The sequence below is a fragment of the Homo sapiens genome, chromosome 3, assembly GCF_000001405.40.
Source record: "Homo sapiens chromosome 3, GRCh38.p14 Primary Assembly".
NCBI lineage: Eukaryota > Metazoa > Chordata > Mammalia > Primates > Hominidae > Homo > Homo sapiens.
This window is the reverse complement of record NC_000003.12, coordinates 167,287,076-167,312,439: the sequence shown is the minus strand read 5'-3', so window position 1 is coordinate 167,312,439 and position 25,364 is coordinate 167,287,076. Positions and strand designations below refer to the sequence as shown.

The 25,364-nt window shown below is 36.1% G+C and overlaps 1 protein-coding gene across 20 annotated transcripts in view; it reads left to right on the top strand.

Moving 5' to 3' along the window:
* Positions 1 to 25,364, top strand: part of ZBBX (zinc finger B-box domain containing) — a 229,485-nt gene that overhangs the window by 95,447 nt on the left and 108,674 nt on the right. For 13 of the 20 annotated variants that reach the window (XR_924174.3, XR_924173.2, XM_024453753.2 and 10 more), the window contains 3 exons: positions 6,490 to 6,797; positions 13,982 to 14,135; positions 23,457 to 23,573. Coding sequence is in view for 18 of the 20 variants with exons in the window: in XM_024453753.2 (XP_024309521.1) it covers positions 6,490 to 6,797; positions 13,982 to 14,135; positions 23,457 to 23,573 (579 nt within the window). In the remaining 2 variants the exon portion in view is untranslated. The remainder of the gene's footprint in view (positions 1 to 6,489; positions 6,798 to 13,981; positions 14,136 to 23,456; positions 23,574 to 25,364) is intronic. The other 7 variants (NM_001377489.1, NM_001199202.2, NM_024687.4 and 4 more) reach the window with 2 other exon arrangements.

Below are 25,364 nucleotides of genomic sequence, written 5' to 3'. Positions count from 1 at the left end.
CTCAGTGTCCATAGTTTATATTAGAGTTCACTCTTGGTATTGTACATGCTATGAGTTTTGACAAAAGTATAATGTGATACATATTCACCACTTATAGTATCATACAGAATACCTTCTCGTCCTAAAAATTCTCTGTGCCCCACCTGTTTATCCCTCTCTCTGACCAACTCCTGGCAACCACTGATTTTTTTTACTGTCCTCATAGTTTTGCCTTTCCAGAATGTCATATAGTTAGAATCATACAGTACATAGCCTTTAATAATTGGATTCTTTAACTTAATAATATGCATTTGAGGTTTCTCCTTGTCTTTTTGTGGCTTGATTTCTCATTTCTTTTAGTGCTAAATAATATTCAATTGTATGAATGTACAATAGTTTATTTATCAATTCACCTATTGAAGAACATTTTGGTTGTTCCAAGCTTTAGCAATTATGAACAAAACTACTATAAATATTCATGTATGGGTTTTTATTGGGACTTAAGTTTTCAACTTATTTGGGTAAATACCAAGGAGCATAACTATTGGATCATATGGTACAGGTATGTTTAGTTTTGTTTTAATAATTGCCAAACAGTCTTACCAAAGTAGCTGTACTATTTTACATTCCCACCAGCAATTAATGAAAGTTCCTGTTACTCCATATCCTCACCATCATCTGGTGCCAGTGTTTCAGAATTTTTCCATTCTAGCAATTGTGTAGTGATATTTCATTTTTTTTTTGATTTGCAATTCTCTGTTGACATATGATATCGAGAATCTTTTAATATGCTTATTTGCCAACTGTATATCTTTGTTAAAATATCTGTTCAGGTTTTTAGCTAATGTTTTGATTGGGTTGTTTATTTTGTTATTGTTGAGGTTTAAGAGTTTTTTGTATGTTTTGCATAACACTCTTTTATCAAATATCTTTTCCAAATATTTTCTTTCAGTGTATGGATTGCCTGTTTATTCTCTGGACTATTTTTCATAGTGTATAAGCTTTTATTTTAATAAAGTTTAGCTTATCAATTTTTTCTTTGATGTTGTATCTAGAAAGTTATTGTCATAGCCAGTGTCATCTATGTTTTATCCTATGTTATCTTTTGAGAGATTCATAGCTTTGCATTTTATATTCAGGTGTGTAATCTATTTTGAGTTAATTTTTGTGAAGGTGTAAGGTCTGTGTCTATATATATTGTTTCACATGTGGATATCCAGTTGTTCCAGAATCATTTGCTTAACAGATTATATTTTCTTTGTTGTATTGCCTTTATTCTTCTCTCAAAGATCAGTTGACTGTATTTATATAGGTCTACTCAGGATTCTCTATTCTGTTTCATTTATCTATTTGTCTACATTTATTCCAATACCACACACTCTCTTGATTGTTATAGATTTATAGTAATCTTGATGTAAGGTAGTATCAAGTCTTCTGACTTTGCTCTTCTTCGATATTGTGTTCACTATCCTGGGTCATTTGTTTCTCTATAAAAAGGCGGGGATTTTGATTGGGATTGCAATGAATCTATAGATCAAGTTGGGAAAAAATATCTTAACAATATTAAATCTTCCCATCCATGAACATAGAATATTTCTCTATTTATTTAGAATTTTGATTTCTTTAATCAGAATTTGTAGAATTCCTCATATAGATCTTGTATATAATTTTTAGATTTCTATCTATGATATGGCTTGGCTCTGTGTTCCTAACCAAATCTCATCTCAAATTGTAATCCCCATGTGTCAAGGGAGGGACCTGGTGGGAGGTGATTGGATCATAGGAGTGGTTTCCTCCATGTTGTTCTCATGATAGTGAGTGAGTCCTCGTGAGCTCTGATGATTTAAAAGTGTGTGGCAGATCCCCAGCCCTCGCCAACATGTAATACATGCCTTGCTTCCCCTTCACCTTCTGCCATGATTATAAGACTCCTGAGACCTCCCAGCCATGTGGAACTGTGAGTCAATTAAGCCTCTTTCCTTAATAAAGTACCCAGTCTTAGGTAGTTCTTTATAGCAGTTTAAAAATGGACTAACAGAGAAAATTGGTACCAGAAAAGTGAAGTAGTGCTGTAAAGATACCTGAAAATGTGGAAGTGACTTTAGAACTCGGTAACAGGCAGAGGTTAGAACAGTTTGGAGGGCTCAGAAGAAGAAAAGAAGATGTGGGAAAGCTTAGGACTTCCTAGAGACTTGTTGAATGATTTTGACCAAAATGCTTATAGTGATAATGGACAATGAAGTCTAGGCTGAGATGGTTTCAGATGGAAATGAGGAACTTATTGGGAACTGAAGTAACGGTCACTTTTGCTATGCTTTAGCAAAGAGACTGGCAGCATTTTGGCCCCCTCCTCAAACTAGACATCTGTGGAATTTGAACTTCAGAGAGATGATTTACAGCATCTGGCAGAAGGAATTTCTAAGCAGCAAAACAAAGCATTCAAGATGTGACCTGGCTGTTTCAAAAAGCATATAGTCATATGCATTCACAAAGAAATGGTATGAAACTGGAAATTATGTTTAAAAGGGAAGCAGAGCATAAAAGTTTGGAAAATTTGCAGCCTGACCATGTGGTAGAAAAGAAACACCCATTCTTTGGGGAGAAATTCGAGCCACATGCTGCAGAAATTTGTATAAATAAAGAGGAACCAACTATTGATTGCCAAGACAATGGGGAAAATGTCTCTAGGGCATTCCTGAGATCCTCACAGCATCCCCTCCCATTACTGGCCTGTAGGCCTAGAAGGGAAAAATGGTTTCATGGGCCAGGCTCAGGGCCTCACTGCTCTGTTCACCCTCAAGACATGGTACTCTGTCCCAGTGGCTCCAAGTGCAGTCAGGGTTAAAAGGGGCCAAGATACAGCTTGGACCTTGGATTCAGAGGGTGCAAGCCCCAAGCCTTGGTGGCTTCCACATGGTGTTGGGCCTGTGAGTCACAGAAGATAAGACTTGAGGTTTGGAAACCTCTGTCTAGATATCAGAGGATGTACAGAAATGCCTAAATGTCCAGGTAGAAGTCTGTTGCAGAGGCAGAGCACTCATGGAGAACCTCTACTAGAGTGGTGCAAAGGGGAAATATGTGGTAGGAGCCCCCACACAGAGTAACCACTGGGGCACTGCCTAGTGCAGCTGTGAGAAGAGAGCCACCATCCTCCAGACCACAGAATGGTAGATCCACTGACAGCTTGCACCATGCAAGCCAGTGGTGTTAGACAGCAAGTTTTATTAAAGTAGCAGTGTACAGCAGTGGCAAAGGCAGTGTTCCTTTTGGAACAGATTTACCCCATAAGCACTGTACCCAGAGTAGCATCTCAGAGGTGGCTCTGCAGTAATATTTTTAGCCACTTTTAATTACATGCAAATTAAAAGATGAGTTACTCAGAAATTTCTGGAAAAGGGGTGGCAACTTCTGGGTCATCAGGTTGTTGCTGGGGAAACAGGTGATAACTTCCAGATGTTGCCATAGCAGTGGTAAACTGACATGTCACTGGTAGGCATGCCTTTTTTTAACTTTTAAGTTCAGGGACACACGTGTAGTTTTGTTACATAGGTAAACTTGTGTCATGGGGGTTTGTTGTACATATTATTTCATCATCCATTTATTAAGCCTTGCACCCATTAGTGATTTTTCCTGCTCCTCTCCCTCCTACCACCCTCACCCTTCAATAGGCCCCAGTGTGTGTTGTTCCCCTCTAAAGTGTCCATGTGTTCTCACCATTTAGCTTCCTCTTATAAATTATAAACTAGTGCTTAGTTTTCTGTTCTTTTGTTAGTTTGCTAAGGATAATGGCCTCCAGCTCCATCCATGTCCATGCAAAGTACATGATCTTGTTTTTCTTCATAGTATTCCATGGTGTATATGTACCACATTTTCTTTATCCAGTCTGTCATTAATGAGCATTTGGGTTGATTCCCTGTCTGTGCTATTATAAATAGTGCTGCATTGAGCATACATATACATGTATCTTTATAATAGAATGATTTATATTCCTTTGGGTATATACCCAGTAATGAGATTGCTGGGTTGAATGGTATTTCTGTCTTTATGTCTTTGAAAATCACCATGCTGTCTTCCATGATGGTTGAACTAATTTACATTCCTACCAACAGTGTATAAGTGTTCCTTTCTCTGCACAACCTCACCAGCATCTGTTATTTTTTTTACTTTTTAATAATATCCATTCTGACTGGTGTGAGATGGTATCTCATTGTGGTTTTGATTTGCATTTCTGTAATGATGAGTGATGTTGAGCTTCTTCTTATAGGATTGTGGTCACATGTATGTCCCTTTTAGGAAAGTGTCTGCTCATGTCTTTGCCCACTTTTTATTGAGATTGCTTTTTTCTTGCAAATTTCTTTAAGTTCCTTATAGAAGGTGGTTCTTAGAGCTCTGTTGAATTCATGGTTTGCAAAAGTTTTCCCCCATTCTGTAGTTTGTCCGTTTATTCTGTTGATAGTTTCTTTCACTGTACAGAAGCTCTTTAGTTTAATTGGATCCTATTTGTCAATTTTTGCTTTGCTGCTATTGCTTTTGGCATCTTTGTCATGAAATCTTTGCCTATACCCATGTCCTGAATGTTATTGCCTAGATTGTCTTCCAGGGTTTTCATAGTTTTGGGATTTACATTTAAGTATTTAATCTATCTTGAGTTAATTTTTGTATATGGTATAAGGAAGGGGTCCAGCTTCAATCTTCAGCATATGGCTAGCCAGTTATCCCACCATCATTTTTTGAATAGGGAATCCTTTCCCCATTGCTTGTTTTTGTCAGGTTTGTTGAAGGTCAGATAGCTGTAGGTGTGTGGTCTATTTTCTGGGTTTTCTATTCTGTTCCACTGGTCTATGTGTCTGTTTTTGTACCAGTACCATGCTATTTTGGTAACTCTTCAGTATAGTTTGAAGTTGGGTAGCATGATGCCTCCAGTTTTGCTCTTTTTGCTTAGGATTGCCTTAGCTATTGGAGCTCTTTTGGCTCTCAGCTTGACTGTCATTGGTGTATAAGAATGCTAGTGATTTTGCACATTGATTTTGTATTCTGAGACTTTGCCAAAGTTATCAGCTTAAGAAGCTTCTGGGCTTAAGCTATGGGGTTTTCTGGATTTAGCATCATGTAGTCTGCAAACAGAGATAGTTTGACTTCCTCTCCTACTATTTGGATGCCCTTTATTTCTTTCTCTTTCCTGGTTGCCCTTGCTAGGACTTCCAATATTATGTTGAATAGGAGTGGTGAGAGAGGGCATCCTCGTCTTGTGCCAGTTTTCAAGGGGAATACTTTTGCCCTTTCAGTATGATGTTGGCTCTGGGTTTGTTATATATGGTTCTTATTATTTTGAGATATATTCCTTCAATACCTAGTTTATTGAGAGATTTTAACATGAATGAATGTTGAATTTTGTCGAAAGCCTTTTCTGCACCTGTGTGGGTGTGTCTTATGGAGAGAGGTACTTTTGACTTCCTTGTTTCCACTAGTTCTAAATACTATCTGAAATTGGTGAGTTATATAAACATTTGATTGCAACAAGCAAGTCCTTTGTAAAGCTGTAAAGCATTTACATCACAGGAGACAGTTTTATTCAGAGTTTCTACTATTTTACATAGTCTACTTATAGAGATATTTGTCTTTGGAACAGAGTAAGGGATAACCAGAAGAAGCTATATTCAGTCTGGATAATGGTGTACATTTATTTAAAATGAAAGTAGTATGGTATAAACATTCAAAGAATTTTTATTTTTCAGAAAATCTAGACCAGTGTTTCACTACTGTGTTACCCACTATAATCACCTGGACAACTTAGCAAGGGGAAGTTCAAAAGACCAATGCCTGAGTTCCACTCTCAGGATCTGATTTAATTGGTTTGGGGTCAGGCCCATACACTGACAATTTTAAAGAGTGCCTTCAGATGATTCTACTGTGCAACCAGGTTAAAAACCGGTGATGTAAACCAAATGATTTATTTAAAGCAGACATAATGAGGTAGATGACTAATACAATCTTGTTCACTTTGTAGCTTTCTAGAAGCAGGTGTCCCTGCTACACATTTTCTGTGCCCCCAACTGCTGCTCTTCTTTCATCTGGCACATTTCCCTGTGCCCTCTCTTTATTGCTAGGCATGCTAGGGAAAAATGGCAAAATGAAAAAATGTTCCCCCTGTGTTACTTCTCATGAATTACTGTTGTAAAATTTGAGTGAGAGGAGGAGGTGGGAAAGTGAGAATTGAACCACAGGCTGAAATAAAAATTTGCATCAATTTTAAGATTTCATTGCAAAATAAAATATTACCTTCTTTTACTAGTCTAGCTCATTAATGTTTGGTTCTATAAGTGAATTATGATTACCACTTATGAATATAAGCATAGTAAAAATATTTTAACACTAAAACATCAGTAAAGGAATTTGTGAAATAGTGTTTATTGAGAAAGTTTTTTTACCACAGAACTTTTGGTTTATTAACAGTTTAATTATTTGTTTAAATTTATTTATGTACCTTTTGTAACTGTGTGTTTTTAACAGCAGAAACTTCAAACACAGATTTTGACAACATCGTGGATCCTGATGTGTATTCTTCTGACATTGAAAAAATTGAGGAAAGCACCTCCTTTGAAAGAAATTTAAAGGAGAAAAATATAGGTTTAGAAAGTAATCAAAAGTCTGATGATTCCTGTGTATCACTTGAAAGCAAGGACACTTTGCTAGGTAGAGATTTAGAAAAAGCTCCCATTGAGGAGAAATTATCTCAAGACATCAAAGAATCCTTGGAATTGAGCAATCTGTATAAGAGGCCAAGCTTTGAAGAATCAAAAACTACAAAGTCATCACTGGTAAATCTCTATTATGTTTATTATATTAAAATTTTATAAGAAACCTCATAAGAAAATGTCTTAGTGACACAATACATTCTCAAGTTACTTCCTATTAAAGTTAAAATGTGCTGCCTTATATTATTATGAGATAGTTGAAGAGTGACTCATACGGGAGAGAACATTAATGGCCTCTAGGACAAATTCTAATATGAGGAATGCCATTTTAATAAATGGCTTTCTGTGATAAATGATACTTTAAGGCCCACCTTATGCAGCATAGTAAGAGCATGGAAAAGTAACAACTTTTCCAAATGAAATTCATTATGAATAATACAGTATAATAAATACTTTCTAGTTTTTTCCGATAATATAGTCAATGGTCAAAATGAAATAAATGCAGATATCTAGACAGAACCAGTTACTGTGGTTTAATGTAAGTATAAGATGAAGAAGGTAATTCTTTCAGGAAGATGGCTAATAAGGAAATAGAGGTGTAGATTTTGTTTCTTCTCATAGGAAAGGTAAAGTAGCTCATTATTGCATTGTTACCATGTTTTAAAACTATATTTGAATTTCATTCTATATACTAGAAATCTTTACTAATTGTAATTATTAATAATACATTCTTAGGAAATTTAAGTGAGGCAAACATTTTTAACAATGCTTAAAAGTCATTTAAAATGAATTCCTATGGTTCCTGAAGAGGGAAGCAAAAAAGCAGAAGGATGAATACTTGAGTTGCTGCTACTTCTGCTTGGAGGATTGGCTTTCTGTGCCCACTTTGTGGCAGATATTGTACCTTTGTGAGATAAGAAATTGGAACTGAGTCCTCTGCAAAAACTTAGACCCCTAAATGTCTGATCAGTCATTAAAGGAGTGCACTAGGAACATACCCATAGGTGCAACAAGATGAAAGGAAACTGATCTCTGCAAGTGATCTGGGCTAGGCCAATAAAACGTTTCACCTGGAAAATAGATATCTTGGGCTTTCATTTAGCATAGGTTTGGATATACATACCCAAATATACATTTGCATATGTATTTCTTGCTTGGAAACTTGAAGCCAAGACATTAACATTATTGTTAATCCGTGCCTATTAATATCCTGATGTATCTGACAGAAGTAAGTACTAATACTTTATAAAAGGACATGCTTACACCTTATCCCACAATAGATTCCACAAAATAAAGCTCCACTTCAGATGGGCTTATCTTCTCGTTCCCCCAGTGAAGAAAACGATTGATCATAGCATGCATTTCAGCAGAGAAAACAAGAACTTCAATTTCCAGATTTCCACAGGGCAACATGAAGAGTACCAGGTGACATCTATATAAACAGTGAGCTGTGTAATAAGTGAGGAATCCTGACCTTAAGAAACCCGATCTTTTACACTGGGCAGTAAGCCTGCCAGACCTTTGTCCTAGAGGAAGACTATCTTCATTACACTAGACAGTAAACAAACCTGCTCTTTGCTCTAGAGAGAGAGACTCAATCTCTATCCTGTGAGACTATATTTAAAATGTTTAAAAATAGAAAGGAAGAAATAAAAAGAACTTAAGAATAAGACAGTATGGACTGCTCCATTTATGAAGGCCAATAAAAATTTCTAACATTCGAAATATATTTATTCAAATTATAATAAAATGGATATAAACAGCATATTAAATACAAATAAGGAGAGAAATATTACCCTGGAAGATAAGTTTAAAAAATTGCTTGTATTGCAGCAAAGACATATGAAGAGTTAGTAATATGACAGATTGTGAAATAACAAAGTACAATTCCTGAACAATATAAATAAAAACAAATTCGCATTATGACTTATTTTTGAGATACCTCATAGACAATCTTAAAAGCAATAAAAGACAACAGATAATTATCTCCAAAGAGCAATTACTAGATTGACATTAAATTCTCATGCACAGCAACAGATAGCCTCAACAGTGTAACACAGTGGAACATTATCTTTAAACTTCCAATAGAACTGACTAACAATCTAGAATTCTAAGGCTTGCAAAACTTTCATTCAAGACCAAGAATAAAATAATGGCAAGTTTAGAGAAAAATTCAGGTAATTTAGTTATTTCGCCTCTTGAATGAACATCTGAATGATATACTTAAAAAAGGAAGAAATTAAACCTGGAAGGAAGAAGTAGGATGCAAGAAATAATGGTGTGAGGGGAAAATGGCAAATATATTAGATGTATTACAAAATAATTATTAGAATGCCCAATTTGAGAATTATAAAAGAAGAAATTTGAATGAGGATAATATGTACCATAACTTGTAAGACTGTTAGATATGTATGATTAGAGTTAAAAGTACTAAGATTCTGTATTATAAAGGAAGGTAGAGATCATTGTAGGGATTGTTGACTTAGTGTTTTAGTTATACATGTTAAATACTTTGAGTAACAATTAAAATGTTACAGACATAATGTATGTCATCCAAAATACTAAAGGAAAAGGGGACCATAGAAAATCCAATTAATTAAAACAGTCAGGAAATAAATGCATCAAAGGAAAAATAGTATAGTTAAGTATTGGGTGTACAATTCCTCTTGGGTCTCTCATGTTTTTTTGCACATCTTTTGAGCAAAACCACTGACTCTATTTGTTCCAAAGTATATTTTCAAGGGTGCTTGTATAGATAACAGCCTTGAAATATAGAGATTATGTCCCTCTTCAGAGCAAAGACTAGGTTTGTTTACTGTCTGGTGTAATAAAAATAATGTTTTCCTCTGGCAAAGGTCAGGCAGGCTTACTGCCCAGTATAAAATAATTGGATTTCCTAAGATCAGGATTTCTCTCCTGTAACACAGCTCAGGGTATGTGCAGATGTCACGTGGCTCTCTTCATGATGTCCTGTGAAAACTGGGTTCTGGGAATTGGTGCAAATGATGATACTCTGGCAACTGCTATTGTTGTGAGTGATAAAGTCATTTGTCTCTGACCAAGGAGTCTTGTGTCTTCGTCCAGCATCCATGAAACTATAACAGGCTTGCACGTAGGATAAAATCTCAGACCCTTCACAATTCTTGACAGCAAGTAGAAAGAGTAAAGCTGACGGGAATAAACCCAATCATATAAGTAATTAGAATAAATGTGGATAGTGTGTGTGTGTGTATAGTTATTTTACCAGAAACCTGCTTAAAACATGGGGTGGGGGGAGGAATTTCAGAGTAAAGGCAAGCACTAATTTAAAAAAAAATTTAAGGTAATAAAACATTATCAGGGTAAAGGGGACCATTATGTACATGATAAAATCAACTATTTAATAGAAAGATTAAAGGAAATCTGAATTTGTATGTACCTATCAATATAGCCTCAGATATATTGTAGCAAAAATGGACAAAACCACATGGTATTATTGACAAATCCATCAATCCAATAAGATTTTCTATTAGTAAAGATAGAGAAGATTTGATCAATACAAATAAGTTTAAAGAACATATTTTGAACCACATACTCAATAATTAGAGAATGTGTGTTCTTTGTAAGAACACATGGAACATTTACAAAATACATGTTACAACACATTACAAAAATAAATCCACAAAGGAAGTTTCAACAAATGCTAAAGAAATCATATTACACACGGTGTTTTCCAACCATAATACAATAAATTATAAATCGATAGCAAAATGCTAACAAAATTAATACAATTCAAATATGTCTAGGTTTTTTTTTTTTTTTTTTTTTTTTTAACGGAGTCTTGCTCTGTTGCCCAGGCTGGGGTGCAGTGGTGCCATCGTGGCTCACAGCAAGCTCCGCCTCCCGGGTTCCCGCCATTCTCCTGCCTCAGCCTCCCGTGTAGCTGGGACTACAGGCGCCCACCAGTACGCCTGGCTAACGTTTTGTATTTTTAGTAGAGATGGGGTTTCATCGTGTTAGCCAGGATGGTCTCGATCTCCTGACCTCGCGATCCAACCGCCTTGGCCTCCCAAAGTGCTGGGATCACAGGCATGAGCCACTGCGCCCGTCCAAATATGTCCAGGTTAATGAAAAAATTAAAATAGAAGGTAGAAATATTTAGAACTGAATGTAAGCAAAAACATCACAGGTAAATAATGTATAGGATGAAACTCAAATACTACTTACTGGGAAATTTATAATCCCAAATGCAAGAAAAAAGTAAAAATTAATGAACTATGAATCTGACTCAAAAGTAATAAAGCAGTAATAAACTCAAAGGAATTCACTGGGAAAACTCTTTCCTGCCGTTCTCTTCAATTCAGTAGGAGAGGATAAGGAAACATGTATTGCCCTCAGGCCCTGCCTATTTATCCAATCCACTTTCTCAGGGAATCTTTCATTTAGTTAGATAGTCTGATGATTTGCATCCCATTGAATTCCTGGTCTACTCTCAACTGATCAGAGTCTGTCAGGATAGCTGTGACTTACATAGCACCAATAATTTACAGCAGGGTTCCTTTCCTTCTTTTATATGTTAATGCATACTACTCTATTCAATTAATGTAACAGGTGTGTCACTAAGTTTAGATGTTTCTTAAAAGGAAGGTGTGTGACATGAACATATAGAGGGGAACAGCATACACTGGGGCTTATCAGAGGGTGATGAGTGGGAGGAGAGAGAGAATTAGAAAAAATAACTAGTAGGTACTAGGCTTAATGCCTAGGTGATGAAATAATCTGTACAACAAATCTCCATGACACAAATTTACCTATGTAACAGACCTGCACAAGTACTCCTGAACTTAAAAGTTAAAAAAAAAAAAAAAAAAGGCCAGGCACAGTGGCTCACGCCTGTAATCCCAGCACTTTGGGAGGCTGAGGTGGGTGGATCACAAGGTCAGGAGTTCAAGACCAGCCTGGCCAACATGGTGAAACCCTGTCTCTATTAAAAATACAAAAATTAGCTGGGCGTGGTGGCAGGTGCCTGTAATCCCAACTACCCAACTACTCAGGAGGCTGAGGCAGGAGAATCGATTGAACCCGGGAGGCGGAGGTTATAGTGAGCTGAGGTCGCGCCATTGCACTCCAGCCTGGGTGACAGGGTGAGACTCTTATCTCGTAAAAAAAAAAAAAAAGGGTTGGTGGGGGAGATGGGAATGTGTGTGTGGCTGGTATACATTCTTGTTTTATTCAATTTAAGACTATCCATTGCTCAGTATAAAATATTGCTCAGTGTAAAATATGTTCTGACAGAGCTAGTTCAGGAAACAATCTGAATGAGTGTTTAAGTGCATAGGATCCATAAAGTTCTCAGCAGCTCAAAGCTGCTGACATAATCAAAAACCAGTGACTGTTGTAAAATGGCTTACATGGTTATTGTTTTTTTTCAATTAGGTGAGACTAAAGGTAGTCCTGGACAGTAATAAAATAGTGTTAGGTAAAGCTTGCCTTTTCCTCATGGGGGATATTGGATTGAGAGATTTGAAGTTTTTTCAGGAATAATCTGTCATAGGATTTTAAAAGAATTCTCAACAAACTAATGGGTTTCTGACTCCAGGATTGCCCCTTTTATAAATAAAATAATGTTTTAATCCATTCCTAGGTAATTATATCTGAGGAATAAAAAAGTGTAAATAGTTTCACAGAAATTTTCCACCACTGGTAAGACAGGACTTAAGCTGAGTGCCAAAGGTTCTCCCTGAGCATCTTATTATAGGAGATGGCCAATCTCTATAAATAATTAAGTTGTTGGATCACAAGAGAATTTGAAGAGTTGCAAAACAAAAGGTGAAAAGCAGGTGGAGGGGAGCTGTAAAATAGAGCTTTCTAAAGTGGCCATCATAATTGGTACTTCACAGTTTGCAGACTGAGTTCCTGCTTCTGAATAAAGTGGTTGAATCTACTTTCTTTTCATTCCTAAGAACTATACCTGAACCTATTTCCCTCTTTTTCTGTCCTAGTAGAAGCCATTCCATCAGAAGAAATGACTTAGAAATCTATGGTGCTCCATCCAAATTGAGTATAAAATTGTTCATTTTGTACTTCAGTTTTCAGAAAATGATTTCTGTGTAAGGTAGTACTTCCTACGGAATTAAGTACTAATTTGTAGGGCAGTAGTTAGGAAAACAATGGACTAGTTAGGGGTCCTTTGTTCTGGCTCTAAAACTATCAATAGTTAACTTTGTAAGTTTGTGCTAAAAGTAGACAAAACATAACTATTTTAGGATTTTTATCTGTAAACCAAGACATTCAAAACTCTTCCAGATTTGCGATTGCATAATTCAAATATAAGCTTCAGTAGAGTGGAAAGAATTCTGTAATTGTTTATTGGTGTCTGGGAGGGCCAGGGGATATGTGCTGAGAATTTTGATTTCGATTTGTCTTTGAATGACATGCTTTATTGGTCACTAGCTTTGTTCTTTAATATGATCTCATTTATATAATTTATAAATTTATAAAAAATTAAAGCAAGTTGCTTTACATTGATTTATGGGAACAGACTATATTTGGGCATTAGTTAGATTCATTACGGAATTATTAAAAACTGATAGCTACTCTGATTATACTATAACCTCATCTAGAGCTCTTACTAATGAATTCCTAATCTGTTTCTACTGGATTCACATTTTTTAAAATCCCAGTTATATTCAATCCTAGAATAAGAACATGTAAAAATGAATTAATAGGGTGGCAGGATAAGTCTAGGTTTCAAATCAGGCAGACCTATATTCAAAGCCTAGGTCTGCTAGTTTCTAGCTATATAAACGTCATAAATTACTTATCTTCCTCTTGCCACAGTTTCCTACTTTATATTTGCTTCATGATGAGTGTTTTGTTAACTTACATTTTTTTTTCCATGACCATTGTCAGGGCAGATAGTTCCCATTGGTATTTCACCTTCAGTTTTGAAATTATTTTATATATAGACAAAGACACTAGTTCAAAGCCACTGCGTGTGAAAGTAACTCTGTATTCCAGGATAATTTATGTGCAAAGACACTGAGGGATGAAAATAAAGGAAGAAAGAGAAAAAAAGTTTATTTTATTTCATGAACTTCTGTCCTCTTTGGATTAGTATCAACTTTCAGAGAATTACTGTAACTGTAGTTAGAACTTCCTATATATAAATGTTGTTTTATTATTTGTCTCCACTGTTAGAAACTAAACTTGATGAGGGAAGAATTTGTGCCAAGTATATCAGATACCAAGTAGGTATCTGATAAATGAATATGCTTGTTTGTGTTAATGAGTTAGAAAATAATATTGTTGAATATTTTGTTTCTTAGTTGTTACAAGAAATAGCCTGCAGAAGTAAGCCTATAACAAAACAATATCAAGGACTTGAGAGATTCTTTATTTTTGATACAAATGAAAGACTCAACTTACTTCCTTCTCATCGTTTAGAATGCAACAATTCCAGTACTAGGATTACACTTGCAGGTAAATTTCTAGCTCATTTTTCTAAAACAGTCTGTTCTCATCTTAGGAAATACTGAGCAATTCTGTTCAATGGATAAAATCATTTTCTTCTTGCCAGCCTAAAATTATTAACCTTGTATTAGTTGCCATATATTTACATTTAAGGTTACTATCAGAATGTGAGAAACTATGACTTACAATGAAACTAGGAAAGATTTTTTAGCATTTAGAAGTGTGGTTATTTTAGACCTTTTAGTGTTGCTGTAAAGGAATAACCAAGGCTACATAATTTATAAATAAAAGAAGTTTATTTGGCTTAGAGTTCTGCAAGCTGTATAAGTAGTATGGTGCCAGCATCTGGTTGGTGTTTTACATTACTGCCAACAGGGCACAAATGTTCCGATTATTACATATTCTTGACAATACTTGTTCTTTTATTTTTTTGGTGGGGTCGGGGGGAGAATAGTCATCCTCATGGGTCTGAGGTGGTACAATATTGTAGCTTAGATTTGCATTTTCCTAATGATTAATAATGTTAAGCATCTTTTCATGTGCTTAATAAGTAATTTGTATATACTCTTTGGAGAAATGTCTATTCAATTCCTTAGCTCTTATTTTAATTGGGTTATTTGTTTTTTCATTGTTGAGTTATAGGAGTTCCTTATTATATTCTGGATACTGCTTCTTCTTAAGATATATTATTTGCAACTATTTCCTCCCATTCTGTGGATTGCCCTTTTACTCTGTTGATAGTGTCTTTGGATGCAGTTTTTTTCCAGTTTTTATTAAGTCCAATTTGTCTACTTTTGTGGCTGCTCTTGCCTGTTCCTTCAGTGTCATATTTAAGAATTCATTTCCAAAGCCAATGTCCTGGGCCTATACTTTCTTCTAAGGTATTTGTAGTTTTAGGTTTTACATATAGGTCTTTGATCGATTTGAGTTTATTTTTGTACATGGTATCAAAGGTCCAGATTCATTATTTTGCGTATGGATATCAAGTTTTCCAGCACCATTTGTTGAAAAGACCTTTCTTTCCCCCATTGAATGGTCTAGGCACCCTTGTCAAAAATTATTTGGCTGAGAGAGTGAATTTTAAGTGTTCTCACCACACACACAAAAAAATGATTGGTGAGATAATACATATGTTAATTAACTTGATTTAGCAATTCCACAATATATACATATTTCAAAATAAGTTTTATACCATAAGGATACTTTTTAAAAAATCATTATAATTTGATTGTATATGTGAGGGAGGATATATTTCTGGGTTGTTTATCCCATTTCATTGGTCTGTATGTCTGTCTTTTTACTGGTATCACACTGTTTTGATTACAGTATCTTTGTAATAAGTTTTGAAATCAGAAAGTGTGAGTCTTCCAGCTTTGCTCTTGTTTTTAATATTGTTTTGGCTATTCAGGGTCCCTGGTGATTGCATGTGAATTTTATGATGGGTTTTTTTATTTCTACGAAAAATGTCATTGAGCTTTTGATAGGGATTATATTGAATGTGTAGATCACTTTGGGTAACATTGGCACCTTACCACTATTAACTCTTCCAGTTCATGAACATGAGATATGTTTCTTTTTATGTGTGGCTTCTTTAATTTCTTTCAGCAATGTTTTATAGTTTTCATTGCATAAGTCTTCCACCTCCTTGGTTATGTTGATTTCTAAGTTTGTTTCTTTTTTAGGCTGTTGTGAATGGAATTGTTTCTTTAATTTCCTTTTCCGATTGTTCATTGTTAGCATATAGAAATACAACTGGTATTTGCCTATTGACTTTGTATCCTACTACTTTGCTGATTTCATTTATTCTAACATATTTTTGTGGAATCTTTAGTGTTTTCTACATATAAGATCACACCATCTGTGAACAAAGATAATTTTACTTCTTCCTTTCTAATTCAAATGTCTTTTATTTCTTTTTCTTGTCTGTTCTGGCTACTTATATTGAATAGAAGTAGCAAAAGCAGGCATCCTTGCCTTGCTCTAGATCTTAGAAATGTTCTATTTTTCACCATTGAGTTTGATGTTTGCTGTGGGTTATTAGCATATTACTTTTATTGTGTAGAGGCATTTCCCTTTTATTCCTAGTTTGTTGGTTGTTCTTATCATAAAAGTGTGTTGGATTTTGTCAAATACTTTTTCTGCATAAATTGAGATGATTATGTGTTTTTTTCTTTCATTCTATAAATGTAGTGTATTACACTGATGGATTTTCATATGCCGAACCATCCTTACATTTCAGAAATAAATTTTATTTGATCATGATGTATAACCGTTTTTAATATGCTGCCGAATTTGGTTTGCTTGTACTTTGAAGATTTTTACATCACTGATTATAAATGATATTGTTCTGATGTTTTCTTTACTTGTAGTGTCTTTATTTGGCATTAGTATCAACGAGTTGATGTCCCTCCTCTTCAATCTTTTGGAAAAGTTTGAGGACTGGTGTTATTTCTTCAAATGTGTGATAGAACTCACCACTAATGCAATTAGGTCCAGGACTTTTCATTATTGGCAAATTTTTGTTAACAGATTTAATCTCCTTACTAGTTTTTTTTATATATATATATATATATATATATATATATATATATATATATATATATTCCAATTTTTTGTTTCTTCATGATTTTTTTTTAAAATTTCACTTTAAGTTCTGGGTACATATGCAGAACATGCAGGTTTGTTACATAGGTATACACGTGCCATGGTGGTTTGCTGCATCCATCAACCCATCACTACATTAGGGATTTCTCCTAATGCTATCCCTCCCTTATCCCACCACCCCCCAACAGGCCCCAGTGTTTGATGTGTCCATGTGTTCTCATTGTTCAACTCCCACTTATGAGTGGGAACATGTGGTGTTTGGTTTTCTGTTCTTGTGATAGTTTGCTGAGAATGATGGTTTCCAGTGTCATCCATGTCTCTGCAAAGGACATGAACTCATCCTTTTTTATGGCTATATAATATTCCATGGTGTATATGTACCACACTTTCTTTATCCAGTCTATCATTGATGGGCATTTGGGTTGCTTCCAAGTCTGCTATTGTGAACAGTGCTGCAATAAACATATGTGTGCATGTGTCTTTATAATATAATGATTTATAATCCTTTAGGTATATACCCAGTAATGGGATTGCTGGGTCAAATGGTATTTCTAGTTCTAGATCCTTGAGGAATTACCACACTGTTTTCCACAATGGTTGAACTAATTTACACTCCCACCAACAGTGTAAAAGGATTCCTCTTTCTCCACATCCTCTCCAGCATCTGTTGTTTCCTGAATTTTTAATGATCACCATTCTAACTGGCGTAAGATGGTATCTCATTGTGGTTTTGATATGCATTTCTCTAATGACCAGTGATGATGAGCTTTTTGTTTGTTTGTTTGTTGGCTGCATAAATGTCTTCTTTTGAGAAGTGTCTGTCATATCCTTTGCCTACTTTTGGATGGGGTTGTTTGTTTTTTTCTTGTAAATTTAAGTTCCTTTTAGATTCTGAATATTAGCCCTTTGTCCAATGGATGGATTGCCAAAATTTTCTTCCATTCTGTAGGTTGTCTGTTCACTCTGATGATAGTTTCTTTTGCTGTGCAGAAGCCCTTTAGTTTAATTAGATCCCATTTGTCTATTTTGGCTTTTGTTGCCATTGCTTTTCGTGTTTTAGTCATGAAGCCTTTGCCCATGCCTATGTCCTGAATGGTATTGCCAGGTTTTCTTCTAGGGTTTTTATGGTTTTCGTTCTTACATTTAAATCTTTAACCTATCTTGAGTTAATTTTTGTATAAGGTGTAAGGAAGGGATCCAGTTTCAGTTTTATGCCTATGGCTAGCCAGTTTTCCCAACACCATTTATTAAATAGGGAGTCCTTTTCTTTTAGTTGTTTTTGCCATGTCTGTCAAAGATCAGATGGCTATAGATGTGTGGCATAATTTCTGAGGGCTCTGTTCTGTTCCATTGGTCTATATATCTGTTTTGGTACCAGTACAATGCTGTTTTGGGTTACTGTAGCCTTGTAGTATACTTTAAAGTGAAGTAGTGTGATGCCTCCAGCTTTGTTCTTTTTGCTTAGGGTTGTCTTGGCCATGCGGGCTCTTTTTTGTTTCCATATGAAATTTAAAGTAAATTTTTTCCAATCCTGTGAAGAAGTTAATGTTAACTTGATGGGGATAGGATTGAATCTATAAATTACTTTCAGCAGTAGGACAATTTTCATGATATTGATTCTTCCAATCCATGAGCATGAAATGTTTTTCCATTTGTTTGTGTCCTCTCTTATTTCCTTGAGCAGTGGTTTGTAGTTCTCCTTGAAGAGGTTCTTCACATCCCTTGTAACTTGTATTCCTAGGTATTTTATTCTCTTTGTAGTAATTGTGAATGGGAGCTCACTCTTTATTTGGCTCTCTGTTTGTCTGTTATAGGTGTATAGGAATGCTTGTGATTTTTGCACATTGATTTTGTATCCTGAGACTTTGCTGAAGTTGCTTATCAGCTTAAGGAGGTTTGGGCTGAGACAATGGGGTTTTCTAAATATACAATCATGTCATCTGCAAACAGAGACAATTTGACTTCCTCTTTTCCTAATTGAATACTCTTAATTTCTTTCTCTTGCCTGATTGCCCTGGCCAGAACTTCCAATACTATGTTGAATAGGAGTGATGACAGAGGGCATCCTTGTCTTTTGCTGGTTTTCAAAGGGAATGTTTCCAGGTTTTGCCCATTCCATATGATATTGGCTGTGGGTTTGTCATAAATATCTCTTATTATTTTGAGATATGTTTCATCAATAGCTAGTTTTATTGAGAGATTTTAGCATGAAGTGCTGTTGAATTTTGTTGAAGGCCTTTTCTGCATCTGTTAAGATAATCATATGTTTTTTGTCATTTGTTCTGTTTATGTGATGGATTACATTTATTGATTTGCGTTTGTTGAACCAGCCTTGCATCCAGGGATGAAGCCGACTTGATTGTGGATAAACTTTTTGATGTGCTACTGGATTTGGTTTGCCAGTATTATTGAGGATTTTCGCATAGATATTCATCAGGGATATTGGCCTGAAATTTTCTTTTTTTGTTTTGTCTCTGCCAGGTTTTGGTATCAGGATGATGCTGGCCTCATACAATAGGTTAGGGAGGCGTCCCTCTTTTTCTATTGTTTGGAATAGTTTCAGAAGGAATGGTACCAGCTCCTCTTTGTACCTCTGGTAGAATTCGGCTATGAATACATCTGGTCCTGGACTTTTTTTGGTTGGTAGGCTATTAATTGCTGCCTCAATTTCAGAATTTGTTTTTGGTCTATTCAGGGATTCAACTTCTTCCTGGTTTAATCTTGGGAGGGTGTATGTGTCCAGGAATTTATCCATTTCTTCTAGATTTTCTACTTTATTTGCATAGAGGTGTTTATAGTATTCTCTGATGGTAGTTTGTATGTCTGTGGGATCGGTGGTGATATCCCCTTTGCCATTTTTATTGCATCTATTTGATTCTTCTCTCTTTTCTTCTTTATTAGTTTGGCTAGTGGTCTATCTACTTTGTTGGTCTTTTCAAATAAACAGCTCCTGGATTCATTGGTTTTTTGAAGGGTTTTTTGTGTCTCTATTTCCTTCAGTTCTGCTCTGATCTTAGTTATTTCTTGTCTTCTGCTAGCTTTTGCATTTGTTTGCTCTTGCTTTTCTAATTCTTTTAATTGTGATGTTAGCATGTCAATTTTAGATCTTTCCAGCTTTCTCTTGAGGACATTTAGTACTATATATTTCCCTCTACACACTGCATTAAATGTGTCCCAGAGATTCTGGTACATTATGTCTTTGTTCTCATTGGTTTCAAAGAACATCTTCATTACTGCCTTCATTTTGTTATTTACCCAGAGTCATTCAGGAGCAGGTTGTTCAGTTTTCATGTAGTCGTGCAGTTTTGAGTGAGTTTCTTAATCCTGATTCCTAATTTGATTGCACTGTGGTCTGAGAGACTGTTATGCTTTTCATTCTTTTGCATTTGCTGAGGAGGGTTTTACTTCCAATTATGTGGTCAATTTTAGAATAAGTGTGATGTGATGCTGGGAAGAATGTATATCCTGTTGATTTGGGGTGGAGAGTTCTGTAGATGTCTATTAAGTCCACTTGGTCCAGAGCTGAGTTCAAGTCCTGGATATCCTTGTTAATTTTCTGTCTCATTGATCTGTCTAATATTGATAGTGGGGTGTTAAAGTCTCCCACTATTATTGTATAGGAGTCTACATCTCTTTGTAGTCTCCAAGAACTTGCTTTATGAATCTGGGTGCTCCTGTGTTGGGTGCATACATATTTAGGATAGTTAACTCTTCTTGTTGCATTGATCCCTTTACCATTATGTAATGGCTTCTTCGTCTCTTTTGATCTTTGTTGGTTTAAAGTCTGTTTTATTACAGACTAGGATTGCAACCCCTGCTTTTTTTCTGCTTTCCATTTGGTTGGTAAAATTTCCTGCTTTCTTTCGTTTTGAGCCTATGTGTGTCTTTGCACGTGAGATGGGTCTCCTGAATACAGCACACTGATGGGTCTTGAATCTTTATCCAATTTGTGAGTCTGTGTCTTTTAATTGGGGCATTTAGCCCATTTACATTTAAGGTTAATATTGTTATGTGTGAATGTGATCCTGCCATTATGATGCTAGCTGTTTATTTTGCCCGTTAGTGGATGCAGTTTCTTCATAGTGTCAATGGTCTTTACAATTTGGTAGGTTTTTGCAGTGTCTGGTACCATTTGTTCCTTTCCATATTTAGTGCTTCCTTCAGAAGCTCTTGTAAGGCAGGCCTGGTGGTGACAAGATCTCTCAGCATTTGCTTGTCTGTAAATGATTTTATTTCTCTTTTGCTTATGAAGCTTAGTTTGGCTGGATGTAAAATTCTGGGTTGAAAATTCTTTTCTTTAAGTATGTGAATATTGATCCCCACTCTCTTCTGCTTGTAGGGTATCTGCTGAGAGATCTGCTGTTAGTCTGATGGGCCTCCCTTTGTCGGTAACCCAACCTTTCTCTCTGGCTGCCCTTAACATTTTTTCCTTCATTTAAACCTTGGTGAATCTGAGGATTATGTGTCATGGGGTTGCTCTTCTAAAGGAATATCTTTTTGGTGTTCTCTGTGTTTCCTGAATTTGAATGTTGGCCTGTCTTGGTAGGTTGGGGAAGTTCTCTTGGATAATATCCTGAAGAGTGTTTCCCAACTTGGTTCCATTCTCCCCGTCACTTTGAGGTACACCAATAAAACGTAGATTTGGTCTTTTCACACAGTCCCATATTTCTTGGAGGCTTTGTTCGTTTCTTTCACTCTTTTTTCTCTAACCTTGTCTTTCCGCTTTATTTCATTGAGTTGATCTTTAATCTCTGATATACTTTCTTCCGCTTGATCTATTCAGCTATTGACACTTGTGTATGCTTCATGAAGTTCTTGTGCTGTGTTTTTCTGCTCCAGCAGGTCATTTATGTTCTTCTCTAAACTATTTATTCCAGTTAGCAATTTGACTAACCTTTTCTCAAGGTTCTTAGCTTCCTTGCATTGGGTTAGAACTTGGTCCTTTAGCTCAGAGGAGTTTGTTATTACCCACCTTCTGAAGCCTACTTCTGTCAATTCGTCAAACTCATTCTCCGTCCAGTTTTGTTCCCTTGGTGGTGAGGAGTTGTGATCCTTTGGAGGAGAGGAGGCATTCAGGTTTTTGGAATTTTCAGCCCTTCTGCACTGGTTTCTCCCCATCTTCGTGAATTTATCTACCTTTGGTCTTTGAAGTCGATGACCTTCAGATGGGGTCTCTGAGTGGATGTTTTTTTTGTTGATGTTGTTACTATTCCTTTCTGTTTGTTAGTTTTCCTTCTAACAGTCCAGCTCCTCTGCTGCATGTCTGCTGGTGTTTGCTGGAGTTCCACTCTAGACCCTGTTTGCCTGGGTATCACCAGCGGAGGCTGCAGAACAGCAAAGATTGCTGCCTGTTCCTTCCTCTGGAAGCTTTGTCCCAGTGAGGCACCCACCAGATGCCAGCCAGAGCTCTCCTGTAAGAGGTGTCTGTCGGCCTCTGCTGGGAGTTGTCTCCCAATCAGGATACACTTGAGGAGGCAGTCTGATCCTTATCAGAGCTCAGACGCTGTGCTGGGAGATCTGCTGTTCTCTTCAGAGCTGCCAGGCAGGGATGTTTAAGTCTGCTGAAGCTGCACCTACAACCGCCCCTTCCCCTAGGTGCTCTGTCCCGGGGAGGTAGAGGTTTTATCTATAAGTCTGTGGCTGGGGCTTCTGCCTTTTTTTCAGGGAGGGACTCTTGAGAAGGCAATCTGGCCATGGTGGCTTTGCTGAGCTGTAGTGGACTCTGCCCAGTTTGAACTTCCCAGCAGCTTTGTTTACACTGTGAGGATAAAACCACCCTCTCAAGCCTCAGTAATGGCAGACACCTCTCCCTTCACCAAGCTCGAGCATCCCAGGTTGAGCTCAGACTGCTGTGCTGGCAGTGAGACTTTCCAGCCAGTGGATCTTAGCTTGCTGGACTCCATGAGGGTGGGAACCGATGAGCCAGACCACTTGGCTCCCTGGCTTCACCCCCCTGGCTTCTGTCTCACTCATGTTCCAGGTGCCACTCGGGTATGAGAAATAAACTCCTGTGGCTAGCTCGGTGTCTGCTCAAGTGGCCACCCAGTTTCGTGCTGGAAACCAAGGTCCCTGGTGGTGTAGGCACCGGAGGGGATCTCCTGGTCTGAGGGTTGCGAAGACCACGGGAAAAGCACAGTATCCGAGCCAGAGTGCAAGTTACAGTCCCTAATGGCTTCCCTTGGCTAGGAGAGGGAGTTCCTTTCCTTCCTGGGTAAGGTGACACCACACCCTGCTTTGGCTTGCCCTCCTTGGGCTGCACCCACTGTACAACCAGTCCCAATGAGATGAACCAGTCCCAATGAGATGTACCTCAGTTGGAAATGCAGAAATCACCTGCCTTCTACATCATTATCACTGGGAGCTGCAGACTGGAGCTGTTCCTATTTGGCCATCTTCTCTTCATGATTTTTTAGTTTCCATTTTGAAAGCTAGATCTTGGTGTCATCTATATTCTTAGGCATCTTATGTATTCAAATGTGTTTATTCATGTAGAAACAATTATACTTTATGTTGCATTGTTATATACTTTTTAAATTTTTAAAATTAAAATATATTAATTTAATGATTTTTATTTTGTAATAAGATTTTGTATTTCATAATATATATCACTGTTGTAAATATTCTTTATTCAGTTAAATATTGTCCAGTAAGACATAAATATAAAACTAATAAAATGGATTTTCTTCTTTTCAAACTTTATGTTATCTTACTGTTTTTCAATTTCAGAAGACAGAGAATGGATTCCAGACCATAGCTTAAGTGAATATGCTGATAATGCAATTGTCTTGGGTGTTCTGCAGGGTGCTCAGAGTCCATCATCAAGTAGAAAACAGCAAAAGATGGGTAACATTGACTCAAAGGCAGCAGTGCCATGTTGGCAGCTTACTTCCTTTAGTAGTTTGCTTTTTTAGCAGTTTAGTAGGCACCTGCAATTTAGTTTTTGAAGTTCTGTAATTTAAATTCATTCATTTTAACTAAATGTCCTCGACTTTTCTTCCAAAACCAAAGCATAAAAACAAGTGAGCTCATTTTTCCAAAGGCATGAATTATCATCTTAGTTATTTTCTATAACAATGTATTAGGAAATAATATTTGCAAAATGTAGTTAAGGATATGGCATATTTTGAACAATCCTTATAAAATACATGGTTTCATTACTCACTCAGGAAGCAGTATGTTTATACCAGATTTTGCATACTCTTTCACTTGATATATATTATGATCAGACAGAGCCATATGTGAAATGATTGACTTAGGTTAAGATGCTGTTTCTTGCTGGGATTGAGAAAGCTTAGTTCTAAATATAATTCTGTATGCATTGACCCTGGAATCTTCATTTCAGTTCATTACCTCTATTCTCTAAACAAAGTAATTATAAGATTTTCCATAGAATAATTCTTTTGACATACTGAATATCTATTTTGATACTTTCCTAATGAGTGTATACAGAGCATATAACATCATTAAAATCACTACTATTATTAGGACATTACTGTTATCCCATTATACCAGCTATAGTGGGTTTGCTCTATGCCAAAGTAGGAAGTTGTAGTAGACAACTAATGAATTCAGGTAATTCAGCATATATTTTGAGGATATTAGCACTTGGATTGGCCCCGAGGATAAAAGAGATATGTAAGTAATATTCCCTGATCTTATTGAGCTCACAGTTTAGGAGGAATACCTGAGAAAGGGGGCTATTTGCCTTGGTTTAAAGGCTATCTTCAAGGCAGAAATTTAATTGCATATGATTTGCCTCTCTATATAAGATATATATGTCTCTCTTGCCCTAAAATCTATGATTAAAACTCTCTGGCTATCTTAGATCCTTTCCATGTGCATTTATGTTGAGAATCTGTCAGATATAAAATTTTTAGGGAGAAAACAATGTATTTATGATTTTTTTGGCTCTATACTTAGATGCCTATTTTTACATCAAAGTCGACAGCAACTTCAAAAATTCTGGTTGCTTCCCTCTGAGGCAATCAGAAAGAACTGCTTTAAGTCACTGTATATTGATGAAAACAAATTCATATACGTGCTATGAGAAATTTATTACAAAGACAAATCTACAAATCCATAGTCAAATGCTTTTAAGTATCAATTTGGACAGATCAGTCAAAATCAATAATTTGCTATAAAAAACATTTGTTCAAGCACTACTGCCAGACACTGTTTATACAAAACAAACTCTTATCTCTATTGCTTAAGAGCTTAGAGTCCAGTATAAAATTTTCTCAAAAGTCGCTGTGGGCATAATCACCTGGGAAACCTCTTGCAATGCAGATTTCTGGATCTGACTCTTAGGGATTCTGATTAATTAAGGCTGAGGTAATGCCTAAGAAATTGCATTTATTTTCTGAACAACAACAACTCCGTGTTATGCTAATATAAACAGTCTGAATACCATATTTTGAGAAAAGTGCTATAAATTTTTTGATATATATAAAATGTGTGTGTGAATATGTAAATTATACCACATATAAGTTTTATAAAAAGACCTATGAGTAATTTACTTTTGGACCTTAATAGGTAATTAATGATAATATGTCCTATCAGCTATAATAGTTAGATATATAAGCAAGGTTTTTTTTTAGAAATAGAGATGATAACATAATGACTTTGCTATTGAAA